General features: G+C 36.1%; 1 long non-coding RNA gene across 2 annotated transcripts; it reads right to left on the reverse strand.

Annotated features, from left to right (window-relative positions):
• Positions 1 to 5,817: 5,817 nt before the first annotated feature.
• On the reverse strand, positions 5,818 to 8,995 carry LINC02448 (long intergenic non-protein coding RNA 2448). 2 transcript variants are annotated; one of them, XR_945012.3, is made up of 3 exons: positions 8,879 to 8,970; positions 8,521 to 8,778; positions 5,818 to 7,136 (listed from the first exon to the last, which is right to left on the reverse strand). It is a non-coding gene; the product is annotated as a long intergenic non-protein coding RNA 2448 (long non-coding RNA). The 2 variants fall into 2 exon arrangements; XR_945011.4 differs by lacking the exon at positions 5,818 to 7,136 and having other exon boundaries at positions 8,096 to 8,801; positions 8,879 to 8,995.
• Positions 8,996 to 15,288: the final 6,293 nt, after the last annotated feature.

A 15,288-nucleotide genomic window follows, 5' to 3' on the forward strand; every position in this document is an offset into this window, starting at 1 on the left:
ACCTGTAATCCTAACACCCTGTGAGGCTGAGGCATGAGGATTGCTTGACCCCAGGAATTTGAGACCAGTCTGGGCAACGTGGAGAGATTCTGTCTCTATAAAACTTAAAAAAAAATAAAAAAAATAAAAAGCCGAGAGTGGTGGCATGCACCTGTGGTCCCAGCTTCACTGAATGTAGAGGAGGGAAGGGCATGTGAGCTGGGAGGTCTAGGCTGCAGTGAGCCAAGATCCTGCCACTGCGCTGCAGCCTGGGCAAAAGAGGGAGACCCTATCTCTAAGAAAAAAAAAAGAAAAAAGAGAAAAGTGAGAAATGAAAGGATTAAACTCTTCCAGATATCTCATCCCCAAAAATAAGCTCAAATATTATTTATAGGGAATACCTTTACACAATAAGGAGAAATTTACAACATCTGGCTTCCAATTTAAAAAGTAGCAGATATGCAAAGAAGCAAGAAAATGTGACTTATTATGAAGAGAAAGATGAATTCATGAAATTAGACCTATAAATGACTCAGATAATAAAATTAATGGAAAAGGACAATAAATCATCTCTTATAACTGGAAATCATAGGTGAACTTTTTTTCAATAATAGTTTTAGCCTTGTCTTTCATATTGGCAGGTAAAAAATCAACCACCAAATTTGAAGCATAGAAGAAAATAGTTACTGAGGTTGCTTATAATCATTCCTACTCTCTGTATTCCCTGAGATACTCCTATAGTGCTTAATGTGAATAGTTTGTTAATATTGCTGTAAAGTATTATATTGTATAATTTGAAGACAGACTATGCTATTTTATTATACTCCATCAATCTATAATATATCATTAGACTGATGCCCTATCAAAAATGCTTTGTTTGTATAATATATTTTGACAAATTTTACTACCATATGTTCTGTAATAAGTATGAATTTTTGTACTTGCAGAAACTGCTGCTAACTTTTAAAGTTGTTTGGTTTTCAAGGCACTGATGATGGATATGTACGAAGTCCATGCTGTCTGCAGAATTAACCATCACACCAGAGCAATATGGCTTTTTGTAGAATTGTCCTAGTTAATGAGCCCAAACTTTGCCTGACGTTGGAAATTTCATAGAGCGTAATTAATGTTGAATTGAATTTTGAGCTTTTAGTCAGAACCTATGGTCAAGTGCTTTTAGGAACAGTGTTTTGTTTTGTTTTGTTTTTATTTTGCTTTAAGTCTGGGATACATGTGCAGAATGTGCAGGTTTGTTACAGAAGTATACATTTGCCATGGTGGTTTGCTGCACCTATCAATTCAACATCTAGGTTTTAAGCCCCGCATGCATTAGGTATTTGTCCTAATGTTCTCCCTCCCCTTACCCCCAACCCCCCAGGTGAACATTTAAAAATAGAGATGAAAATCAAACTTCATCTGTAGTACAAAAAATGTTAAAGGAAACCCTTCAGGCAGAAGGAAAATGATGCAATTGAAAAGCTGGATGTTCACAAAAGAACATGAGAAATGATAACTATATGGGTAAATATAAAAGATTTTTTGTTATTATTCACATCTCTTAAAAATATATAAAGCAAAAATAATACAACTTATATGGAAATAAAATGTATGGCAAGTATAACACAAATGTCAGAGGGGGAAGAATGAAAACATAATTTTGAAGGTCATTGTATTTATGGTGAACTGTGTATCTTAAACGTAGGGTGTGATAAGGTCAAGATATATACAATAACACTGAAGCAACTACTGAAAGCACTAGTAGGCCAAAGAAGGATATAAAATGAATTTATAAATAATACTCAATTCAAAACACAACACAAAAAGAAGAAAAATAGATTTAACAAGATATAAAAATAGAAAATAGCAATATATCAGATTTTAACTCTATATTATCAATAATCACATTACATTTAAATGGTCTAAACACACTAATAATTAACAGATATCATCAGAATGGATTTTAAAAGTCAAGAGCCATCTAAGCAGTTTCTATAAGATGTCCACTTTTTAAAGACACAACTAGATTAAAGGTTAAAAAAATAGAAAATATACACCATATTAACATTAATCAAAAGAAATCAGGAGCATCTATATTAGTATCAGACAAGCAGTATTTTAAAATGATATGTGGGTCAATTCATCCAGAGAATATAACCATTCTAAACGTGTATACATCTAATAAAATGCATGAAACAAAAACTGAGAGACCTGTAAAGAAAAATAGGCATATCCATAATTATAGTAGAAGACATCAACACTCCTCTCTCAATAACTCATAGAAATAAGACTATTTCATATAAGTAGACATAAGAAATAAGTAAGAATATAGGAGACTTTAAAAGCATTCTCAACCTACTTTATCTTCTTGATAATTACTCAATACTACACCCAAGAAAAAGTAAAATATGCTGGAAGTGCATTAAGAACAATTACCAAGTAAGACCATATTCTATGCCATAAAACAAAATTCAATAAATATAAAAGCTTTCATAAAAAGTTCAAACATGTACAGACCATATGTCATAGCTATTACACTCGTAGATATTTACCCAAGAGAAATAGCAGCATTTGCATACAAAGAACTATACACAAATGCCGATACCATTTATTTCTTAATAGACCCAAACTGGAAGGAACCCAAATGTCATCAACAGGTGAATAAATAAATAAATTGCAGTGTATCCATAAAATGGAATACTTTCTGCAATAAAAAGTAATGAGTTATTGTCACTCACAAAGAAATGGGTGGATCTGAAAATAATTACGATGAGGCCAGATTCCAGGTCTGCAAAATTCTAGAAAATTCAAACTAACTTATAGTGGCAGAAATCGGATCAGTGTTTGCTTGGGGAAGAAGAAAGGGAGCAGTAAGGAGAGATTATAAAGAGGCCCAAGAAAACTAAACTTTTGAGTGTAGTTAATATTCTCATTTTTCTGACTTTGCTAATAATTTTATGAATGTATACATATATCAAAATATTGAACTATACACTTTAAGTATGTGCAGTTTATTGCATGTCAATTACAGCCTCAATAAAGCTATTTTAATACAATAGTCATTGTATTAGTCAGGATTCTCTAGAGGGACAGAACTAATGGAATATATATATTTATTATATATATGAAACATATTTATTATATATGATATATATTTATTTATTATATATATGAAATATATATATTATATATGAAATATATGTATTTATTATATATATTTATTATATATATTAGAAACTTTCTTTTAACTCCCCTAGTTGCAACATTAAATGCAGAATCCCTACTTAGTGGGCCCAAATCAATAAATTCAGCCTGATCCAACTCTATGTTCCTTCCACCCTTAATATCCATTCCTATGCCTGTTCTTCAGTTTTTGGTTTATAGAAATTAGAAAACTCAAGCAGCTCTTTTCTAGTGTAGTTTACCTCCTCATGGGTCACACTCTCAGCCTCACCTCTAGGGGCCCGCTGAGACTTTAGTCTAGTTATAGGTCTAGAAGCAAACAGGGGTGTTGGGGGTGGCTCCTGAGGAAAATCAACATTATCTTGCCTGGCAAATGTCTCAGGGGAGGCCATCACTGTTGCCTCAGGCAGCACAGGGTTTTCTCCTTAGACAAAGCTGGAAGGGCTGATGGCAGCATGGGTTGGAGAGGGGATGTTGCCATTTCTGGGGATGGGGAAACTGTTTCTTCTGGCAAAAAAAGGTTCATTAGACTTTACAAATTCAGTATTTCCAGCTTCATCAGGGTCCTCCCACATTTCACCATTCCAAGTTGCAGGGTCCCATTCTTTTCTAATCAATGCCCTCACTTTAACAGTAGACACCTGATGGGGCTGTGCATGCGCCTTTCGTTGCAGGTCAGCCACTCGCATGATAAGAGCTTGTTTCTGTTGTTCCATAATTTCAGCTCTTTCTCTACAGGAGATAAGACTTTCACTCAGGGCAATCTTAGCAGACTTCAGGCTCAGTATCTGCTACTGAAGCCGGGAAATAGAATCCCAGAGTTCATCATTTTCTTTCATCATTTTGTCCACTAAACTTAGGAGCAAACAACCAGCTTCATTATGTTTCTTGGTTCTCAAAGTATAGTAAAAGGTATTTTGTAGAGTCACTAAACTCCTTGCCTCTCATGAACGATGAGTCAGGAGTGTCAAATGCATTTATTTTGCGTAACTCTCTAAACAGTTCAAGCCAAGGACTATCAGTGTTCTCCATAGTATTAGAAGTAGAGTTCTTAGAATTTTTTGGTCTAATCATATTAAGCAGGCAACTCCAGAAACTCCAAAACCAATGAAATAATTCTATCCTTAATATTCTGTTCCTCTAGAACCACTCCTGGTACCAAAATCTGTATGAGTCAGGGTTCTCTAGAGGGATAGAACTACTATAAATTTTATATACATATATATATGTATGTAATATATATTTTATATAAGTATATATATATATATGTATATAAAACAGGGAGCTTATTAAGTATTAACTCACATGATCACAAAGTCCCACAATAGGCTGTCTGCAGGCTGAGGAGCAAGGAGAGCCAGTCCAAGTTCCAAAACCGAAGAACTTGGAGCCCAATGTTCAAGGGCAGGAAGCATGCAGCGGGGGATGCTAAGCCAGTCTCTCTTTTCACATTTTTCTGTCTGCTTATATTCTAGCAGTGCTAGCAGCTGATTAGATTGTGCTCACCCAGATTAATGATGGATCTGCCCTTCCCAGCCCACTGTCTCAAATGTCAGTCTCCTTTGGCAACACCCTCACAGACACACTCGGGATCAATACTTTGTATCCTTCAATCCAATCAAATTGATACTCAGTATTAACCATCACAGTCATACATATGACTTCCAGGAAATCATCACTGAGTTCTTTGAAATACACACATAGAAACCTAAAGAGTACTGTGGTTATAAGAAATGGGCAACAAGAACTAGGCTTCCTTATGTTTCTAAAGTTCTTTCATTAATCCAGAAGAAACAAACCTAATAGCAAGTTTTTATCATAATGTCTAAAAAATATTCCCTGGGAGTAATTCAGTCCTATAGGAACATGCTTTCATGGTTTAAACCTCTAGTTATGTTAAGTGCAGAGCAGAAGTAATGCATTAAATGTTTCCTTAGTTACCAAAAGGAATGAATACATCTGCCAATGTTTCTAAGCAAGTCCTATGCCAGGAGAAGAAAACTGATTGGCAAAAAATAATATTTTATTTTTAAAAAAATTTAACTGTCCCCAAATTACAAAGGCATATCAATCCAGTATAGCTTCAGATTTACATTGCTTACGTACAGATTAATAGTGCTTATGTTTATTTTCATGACTTCCTCCACCAAATTATTTGTTTGGGGGATCAATACATATTTTGCATTGCTTATAAGTAATTAAACATGGCTTTTTTTCCCTTACATTACCAATGTAGTTTGGATCTTTTATTCTAATAAACTTGTTAACTTTTCCTTCTTTAACTTTCATGGTACCAAATACTAAATTCTCTAATAGAAAAAATAATGATGGAAAATAAACTTACCTTTTAACAATAAATTAAACAGTTCATCTTTCACATTTCATGTTTTGATTTGAGCTATCAACAAATAATCTTACCCAAAATATCTCTAAATCTAAATGACCTGGAAAAAATATTTTGTTTGATTTTCACCATTTCGTCATATCATAGAAGTTTAAAGGGTTTATTTTGGCCATATCTACAAGAAGAAATTGTGTTACATAGCTACAGGAATAGACAGGATGGAAGATAGATGGTAGAATGGGAAAGAGACCTTTAGAAGTCACTCAGGTTATTTTCATTTGCAACACACTCTTTAACAGAAAATAATGACAAAGTATGGTAATATGTAATTTATTCGGCACTTAATATTTTAAAAACACTTTCTTGTACTTTGTTTTATGTGCACAAAATTTGATTTATACTAAGTCACCAGGTATCAAATATCGATATGGCAAGTGACAGAAAAGGCAATGGACTGAGATACAAAACTAGTAGTTGGATAGGTGGGTAGGTAGATCAGAGAGATTAGCTAGCAAGCTAGATAGCTTTTAGAAATAAAGACTTATTTTAGAAATAAGATAGATTGATAATGGTACTAGGGTATACAAAATAGTTTTCTCTATATCATGAATTACAATTCCTTTTATAAAGTGTACCAGGTCATAAACAGCTGATTTTCTATATTATCTTTTAATACTTTACACTCACAAAAAACAGTTATTTTCTTAAAAAATAAACTAGACTATGCTTGGCATTAATCATGTGTCATTAAACAAAGCAATCTGACACAAATACAGCATAACCTAGTCTTCAAAATTAAACACCAAATTAAAAAAGACTATTTGTGATTGATTCTAGAATATATTACAGCATTTTTCCATCCATGCAATTTATCATACTTATCTAAAAATTTTTTAAAATTCCTTGAGAGATTGACTTTGAGAGAAGAATAAGCAAAATATTTTTTCACTCAGGAACATAGCATATTTTCCAAGTTTTCAAAATAAGAGTATTATTTTAATAATTTCTGCATTTCATAGATTTAACGTTTGTATTGTTACTTTTCTAGATAGAGGCTTTAGTCATTTTGCTTTGCCCATTACAAATCTTATTTGAGAACTTGAAAACTTACATTAATTTGATTAACCGAAGGTCTTGATACATCATTTTTCTGTGATGTCCCACTGACCTTTAGAAAAGTTGTGTTATTTTCTTTCTGATGTCTTATCTGATCTCAAAAAGAATGTGAACAAAAGACAGTAAGCCTTTGCACTCTGAATCTCAAGGTGACATTTAAGACTGACATCCAGCTAGCAAAAGTACATCTCAAAATTTATTCTTGTCCCATAGGGATAAGCAAATCATTAATGTAAGAAGGTATCAGGCCATTAAGTGCTTTAAACGTCAACAATAAAACTTTAAAATCAATGCAAACCTTGACAGGAAGCCAATATGAAAACTGGAGGACAAAAGTGATGTACTTTGAACAGGTAAGTAGCCTCACACTGTGAATGAGCTGAACCTTGGAGATTGATTTATCAAAAAAATCGAAACATCTGGATGTTGAACCAGTCCAGTCTCCGTGATTATCACATTGCAGTCGTTTCAGTACTACTTGCATGTCTTTACTCAAAAGATGTGCTGTAGAAGATAACTGTTAACAAGAGCAGCATTTTACATTGAAACCAATAACTAGGTTCAAATTAATAGGAACATCAACTTTTGTACAATACTGTAGAATTCACAACATGCTTTTTCAAATAGTATTCCACAAGATCTAGGAACAAGGACATTCACAATTGAAAGAATATATTTATGTGCTTACTTTTGTGATACTAATATTCCAATAATAAACTTAAAATTGTTGAATAAAATAATAAAAAGTGAGAGTTATTTGTTCTAAATCTTACTTCTGATTGGCAAAGTTTGCAATACATGGGGAACAGTTCTAATTCCTTTTCAATATACTTCTGCCCATTTGATGACTTTCATAAAGATAATGATAATAATAATAGCTAACAGTAACTGAGCACTTATGAACCATGCATGGTCTCATATAATCTACTACTGCTATTCACATTTTATGGATGAGGAAACTGAGGCACAGATAGACAACACGAAGTGACTAAAATTCTGCAACTTTTATATGTCAGAACTAGGAAGGACATTGACCCCAGAAACTGCTATGTAACATAAGTCTTATATATTTGGTCATATATTTATTTATTTGTGTGTGTGTATATATATATATATGTATATAATAGTATATATACTATTTTAATGCATGTGCTGTTTTAATCATTCATATCTTTGTGTGAGTATGCGTATATGTAATTTGAAATATTGTGATACTGTTGTCACATTACAAATAGCAAAAAAGTAAAGTGAGAGGTAAATGTAGTCTTCAAATAGTTATCACCCTTTCTTTAGTGAATAAAATCTTTGTATGCCAGTGTTTATTGGCAAGTGACTATTTCAAACCTCAGTGATTGGAAAAATTGTTCTGTATGCTCTTTTTTTTTCCTTCCTCCCTTAAAGGAACCCTACAGAGGGTCACTTTGCTTTGATTACACAGGGTTGGATAATTATAATGACAAACAAGACTCCCCAAGGTATACTCACATAAGTCTTTATTAAAAGAAAAGGGTATGGTACGACAGGAGAAGGACAGTACAGGCAATCAGTGATGGTTTCCAGCCCCTAGGATCCCATCTCAGTCACACAGAATCTGCTTTGTTTTCAGATTATGAACCACAAAGATACACACGAACTGTCTTGATTTGAAGGGAGCCTGTGCAAAACTTTACATCAGGGTCTTTTGTATCCCATTACTCACCTAAGTAAAGCTAGCTGTGTAACCAGTTAAGTAAGGAGTAAAACATTAATCTGAACATTTCTAAACAATGTAAAAAAGCATGCTCCAAGCTGCAACAAGCCAAGAGTCAGTTTCAGTTGTACAGGCACGGTGTTCATTATTGAGTGAAGCAATTTATTGAGCAGGTACTCAGTAAGTATTAGTGGACTCTTTGGACACTCACCTAAAACTTGATACTTCTCTCGTTGTTGAACAGAGAAAAAATATACCAGCCTCCTCTGGAAGCAGCGAGGGAAAATTTAAGAAGTTGGTATTTACTGTATATCTTAAAAAAATCCAAAACATCCACCCACGATTTTTAAAAAATATGAATGACAAAGTTATAGCCATCAAATAAAGATGAAGAAAAGGTGAGAACATGGGAGTGAACATCCTTCTCTGGGGCTGGGAGATGCAATGGTAGTGTTCCCATTCTTCATGTCTTTAGCAGATAAAAACAAAAAACTGGAAGATGAGAATATTAGTAGGAAGCAATAAGGAATGAGGCAACTCATTTGAGCAGCTAGAAACAGAATACCCACCTGTGGCTCAGAAACAATAATGTATAATTCATGTGCTTCCAATTTGATTGATGCCAACCTGAATCATGAACAGCAGCTCAGGATAGTTGTTCCTGGATCAGAAGAGAGGTTTCAAGTCAGAATGTTGCTATGTTCACTATTGTTCCTGCACTGTGAGTAATAAATCACCTTATTATCACCACAACCCCTACATCATAATGGTGACTATATGTTGCCTATTGACTTCTAACTTATATATTTATTGTTGCTCTGGTAACATTATTATGCATCTAATAAATGTTGTAACATAATATATACTTTTTACTTTTAAATAAATGTTAAGACACAAAATCCAGACACCAAGTTTTTCTCTTGTCTTCAGGGTTGGGAGGTTACATAATTGTTCAAGTCTATTGGTCAAGCAGGTGAGGGTAGATGCAGGTGGTGGAAATAGGTAGGTGGTATGTGCGGAGAAACTAAGATGAAGCCATGTAATTTTTTTTTTTTTTTGAGACAGGGTCTTGCTCGTCACCCTGGCTGGAGTTCAGTGGCACAATTATGAGTCACTCAAGCCTTGTTCTCCTGGGCTCAAGTGATCCTCCTGCCTTAGCCTCCCTAGTAGCCGGAACTACAGGTGTGCACCACCACTCCTGGCTATTTTTTTTTCCAGTAGAGACGAGGTCTCGCTGTGTTGCCCAGGCTTGAGTTCCTGAACTCAAGTGATCTTCCCACCTCAGCCTCCCAAAGTACTGGGATTACAGGTATGTATGAACCACCATGCCCAGCCATTTGATTCTTTAAAAAGAGTGAACTGTGGAGTCAGATTCTCATCACTTATCATATAAGATTTTTTACCTTTTTTGTCATATCTTCCAATGACCTTCTTATATCTTAAGTAAACTGAAAATGTTAATACCAACACTCATACTGACCAAGACAGGTATGACAGAATCAGTAAATTGTCTTTACTGCTATAAATTTTCATATGCCCATTTATATCAAAAGTGAATGTGAAACAGCAGGACATCAAATTACTTTGGATTTCCTGTAGCCACACATGTGTAGTTTATGAAAAAACATGAATTCTGATAATGCTTTAGGTCATGTGGAGAAATGAGGCTTCTAAAATAGTGCTTAGAATCAGTGAGCTAAATCATTAACTATCATCTATTCATGCTGATATCTTCTTGGTAAGCAATTTTCTATTTTTTCCCCTAGAGGAAACTGACTTTTGTCCATTGTTCCAGCTGTTAGAGTGCACATCTTTCAATTCAAATGCAAATTGTATCAAAAGTCTTATACATGCTTCTTCATCTAAATTTGACAAGGTTTATTAATAGAGAAATAGACTACCAAATACTTATCTTTCAGCAAGGATTATCAATATTACTAAGTTGTGTAACAAATGCATTGAATATTTTATTGGCTCACTCATAAATTTTTGACTTTTGATAGGATAATAACCGCTCTGTAGAAAGACATTGCTGTTTCTCATCAGAAGAAGCTAATCATTTCCTGAAAACGGAAAATATGAACATAGTAGGTATTCGTGTTCATTACAGGAAACCCTGGTTCTATGTGACCTCCAAGCTAATTTCAGCAGAAATTCATCAAAAGGGTTAAAAACCATTCCCTTATTTAGGAAATGCTCTCTTTGCTAAATTCAAATTTAATAGTATGACATAAATAATAACACAGGCAAGGAGGAAAGTTGTGTAAAGTATATCCTAGTGAAAATGAGATCTCTGGCATAGCTGGACTGTAGGTGTTCCAAGCTATTGATTATTTATATTTGCTTCTCACATAGGGCGCAAGACTCATATCTTACTTCTACTCAATTCTGTTAGAACCAGCTTGAACACCACACTCCTTTCTGGTAGAAAAGCCAGTGTCAAATGCTGGCTCTCCTTGATCATACAAGTAATTCAGAAGCTGATATCATGGGAAATGGATGCCCAGCAGGCCAACCTTTTTTTTTTTTTTTTTGAGATGGAGTCTCGCTCTGTTGCCCAGGCTGGAATGCAGAGGTGCAATCTTGGCTCACTGCAAGCTCCGCCTCCCGGGTTCACGCCATTCTCCTGCCTCAGCCTCCCGAGTAGCTGGGACTACAGGCGCCAGCCACGAAGCCTGGCTAATATTTTTTTTTTTTTTTTTTTTGTATTTTTAGTAGAGACTGGGTTTCACCATGTTAGCCAGGATGGTCTCGATCTCCTGACGTCGTGATCCACCCGCCTCGGCCTCCCAAAGTGCTGGGATTACAAGCGTGAGCCACTGCGCCCGGCCGCAGGCCACCATTTCTAAGCAGTGAGGAGTGCTCAAGTTTGGCAGCTCGTGCCTGCTGCTATGGCTGTCTTTGCTCCTTGCTGCCACATAGCCCTGCTATAAAAAACTGGTTCTCGCCCATCTCTCCAATGATGCTGTTTGCACTGCAGTCAAGTCTTATATTTTATTAGCTTATGCTAAAGGGTTCTTCTCTTAGAAGAAGGATACGTCAACAAGGGAAGCCCTCTCCTTTTGCGCGTCATTCACCCCATGCTGACATCTACCATAACCTGTAATGCGCCATCCTTTACAGGCTTCACTACTGGCAGCCACTTTCCTCTAAAGTCTTACTGCCTGGGAGATTCTCTGCCCGTATAAATTTGGGCCTAATAACATCTTCAACCACCATTCCTCCTTCCCAGAGATATCACCAAGGAATCTGCTTTCTTTTCAACCTCTGAAACACAGAGTTCTTTCTGCCTCCCTTCCTTTGACAATACACTATCCACAGAGAAAGTTAACCTTTCTTGATAGTAAGGAAGATCCAGAATTAAAAGTAGGGAAAGTTCTATTTACCTTGGAAGTAAGCAAGAAGTGGTCCTTTTCTTTCTTCATATTCTGCCACTGTCCTCAAATACTCAGAAAATAATTAATACATAATCCTTAATACTATCATACTCTGATGGAAGTATTATAGATAGCGGTAACACAAGTTAAGGGCCTTGAAGCTGGAATAAAGTTAGCAAATTTTGTAACAATAAGATCAGTGTAGCTGGGGCAAAGTAAGCAAGAGGGAAGTTAGAAGACAATTTTGGAGAAAAATGCATGAGCTAGATTTGTATAACCCAGGAGCTACAGGGAAGGGGTTTGAAATTCAATTGAGTGTTTTGAGCTGAGGCATAATGTGATCTCATGTGTTGTTTTTAAGATAAGTACTTAAGATTGTTATTTTGAAATATTTCAGACATAAAAATTATGCACAAAGAATTATACAATATTTGTCTTATATTGTTCAAGGAATAAAAGAGCAATATAGTTGATGTATCCTGTACTTTTCTTGATCATCATGATCATCATCTTTCTATTCCATTTTCCTCAAACACTGGTAACTATTATTCTAAATTTGGTGGAGGTAATTTCCATTACTTTATACTTTCAGAGCATATTAAATATTTATGTATATGGCATTATACTGTGCACATTACTTTGTATTTTATCATATAACAATCATCCATGTTGATATGAGTAGCTTTGGGTCACTGTTTTTTGCTGCTATGTATTATTCCAAACGATACAGTTGGGTGTACTCTGTGTATGTAGACCCCTGTGATATTATTTATAATACCCGGGCAAGATGTTACATTTAATGTCCCAGTGGGTGTATACCCTGTGATATTATTCATAATATCCTAGGGGGATGTTATAACTTATGTCACAGTGGGTGTACACCATGTGTGTATGCCTTGTGATGTTATTCATAATATTCTAGGGAATGTTTCTCCTAATGTCACAGTGGGTATACACACATGGTGTACACCTAGTGATATTATTTGTAGTATTTTAGGGGAATGTTACTCCTAATGTTACAGGGCGTGTACGCCCTGTGATATTATTTGTAATATCCTAGAAGGGTGTTACTCCTAATGTCATAGGTGGTGTAGATTCTGTGATATTATTTTTAACATCCTGGGTGGATGTTACTTCTAATGTCAAAGAGGGTGTACACCCTGTGATATTACTGGTAATACCCTCGGGGGATATTACTCCTAACATCACAATGAATGAATACACCATGTACACGCCATGCGTGTACACCCACTGTGATATTATTCATAATATCCTAGGTAGGTATTACATCTAATATCACAGTGGGTGTACACCATGTGTGTACACCCACTGTGATATTGTTCATAATATCCAAGGGAGATATTACTCCTAATATCACCGTAAGTGTATACCCTGTGATATTACTTGTAATATTCTAGGAAATATATTATTCTTAACATCACAGTGGGTGCACACCCTGTGATATTATTCATACTATACTAGGGGGATGGTACTCCTAATGTCACAATGGTTGTACATCCTGTAATATTTTTGGTAATATCTTAAGGAGGATTTTACTCCTAATATCACGGGGGTTGTATACTCCCGTGATATTATTCGTAATATTCTAGAAGGATGTTTTACCTAATGTCACAGGGGATGTATGCCCTCTGATATTTTTCATAACATCCTAGGAGGATGTTATTCTTAATGTGTACACACTGTGGTATTATTTATAATATCCTAGAGAGATGTTAATTTCACTGTATGTGCCCCCTGTGAAATTATTCATAATATCCTAGAAGGATGTTACTACTAATGTCACAGTGGGTGTACCCCCTGTGATATTATTCATAATATCATAGGAAAATAGGACTCCCAATAGCACAGTGGGTGTGCTCTGTGTAATATTATTGGTAATATTCTAGAAAAATATAACTTCTAATATCACAATGGGTGTACACCCTGTGGTATTATTCCTAATATCCTAGGGAGAAATCACTTCTAAAACCACAGGGAGTGTACACCCCGCATGTGATATTGTTCCTAAAGTCCGTGGGGGAAAAATGACATTACTCCCAATATCGCAGGGGGTGTACAACCCTTCTGCTATATTGTTCCTTATATCCAGAGGGAAAGAGGATGATATTACTCCCAATATTACAGAGGGTGTACACCGCCCTTGTGATATTGTTCCTAATATCCAGGAGGGGAGAGGATGATATTACTCCCAATATCGCAGGGGTGGACACCCATTCTGTGATATATTTCCTAATATCCAGTGGGGGAGAGAATGATATTACTCCAAATAGCACATGACGGGTACACACTTTCTGTGTTATTGTTCATAATATCCCCGGAGGAGAGGGTGATATTACTCCCAATATCGCAGGGGGTGCACAACCTCCTTGTGATATTGTTCCTAATATCCAGAAGAAAACACGATGGTATTACTGCCAATACCACACACCTGTGATATTGTTTCTAATATCTGGGTAGAGGGGAGAGATATTATGCCCAACATCGCTGAAGGTGTACAGCCCTTTTGTGATGTGTTTCCTAATATCCGGGGGGGAGGGGATGATCTTACAATCAATAACACAGGGGAGTGTACACCCCCCTGTGATATTGTTCCTAATATCATGAGGAGCAGAGGACAATATTGCTCCCAATTTCACAGGAGTTGCACACCCGCCCTAAGATATTGTATTTAATATTCAAGGGGCAGAGGATGATATTATTCCCAATATCGCTGGGTGTGTACATCCCCCTGTGATATTGTTTTTAACATCAAGGGGCAGAGGATGATATACTCCCAGTATGGCAGGGAGTGTACACCTCCTCTATGATATTGTTCCTAATATTCAGCAGGGGAGAGGATGATATTACTCCCAATATTACAGAGGGTGTACACCACCCTTGTGATATTGTTACTAATATCCAGGGGGAAGAGGACGATATTACTCCCTACATCACAGGGAGTGTACACCAACCCTGTGACATTGTTCCTAATATCCTTGAAGGGAGAGAATGATATTACTCCCAATATCGCATAGGGGTGTACACACCCTATGTGATATTATTTTTAATATCCATAAAAGGAGAGGATAACATTAGTCCCAATATCGCATGGGGTGCACATCACCCCTGTGATACAGTTTTTAATCTCCAGGGCAGGAGAGGGGATGATTTTACTCTCAATATCGCAAGGTGTGTACACCCCTCCCTGCGATGTTGTTCCTAATAGCCAGGGGGTGAGAGGATGACATTACTCCCAATATCGCAGGGGCAGTACACCCTCCTGTGATACTGTTGCTAATATGAAGAGGGAAAGAGGATAATATTACTCCCAATATCACAAGGGGTGTACACACACCCCCCCCCGCGATATTATTTCTAATATTCAGGGTGGACAAATATGATATTACTCCCAATATCGCAGAAGGTGTTCACCATTCTGGGATATTGTTCCTAATATCCAGGGAAGGAGAGGATGATATCCCTCCCCAAATCGCAGTGTGTGTCCGCCTCCCTGTGATATTGCTCATAATGTCCGGTGGGGGAGATAACATTAATCCCAATATCGTACATACGCTGTGTGCATACCCCCTGTGATATGGTTC

Source organism: Homo sapiens, chromosome 12 (assembly GCF_000001405.40).
Source record: "Homo sapiens chromosome 12, GRCh38.p14 Primary Assembly".
Lineage (NCBI taxonomy): Eukaryota > Metazoa > Chordata > Mammalia > Primates > Hominidae > Homo > Homo sapiens.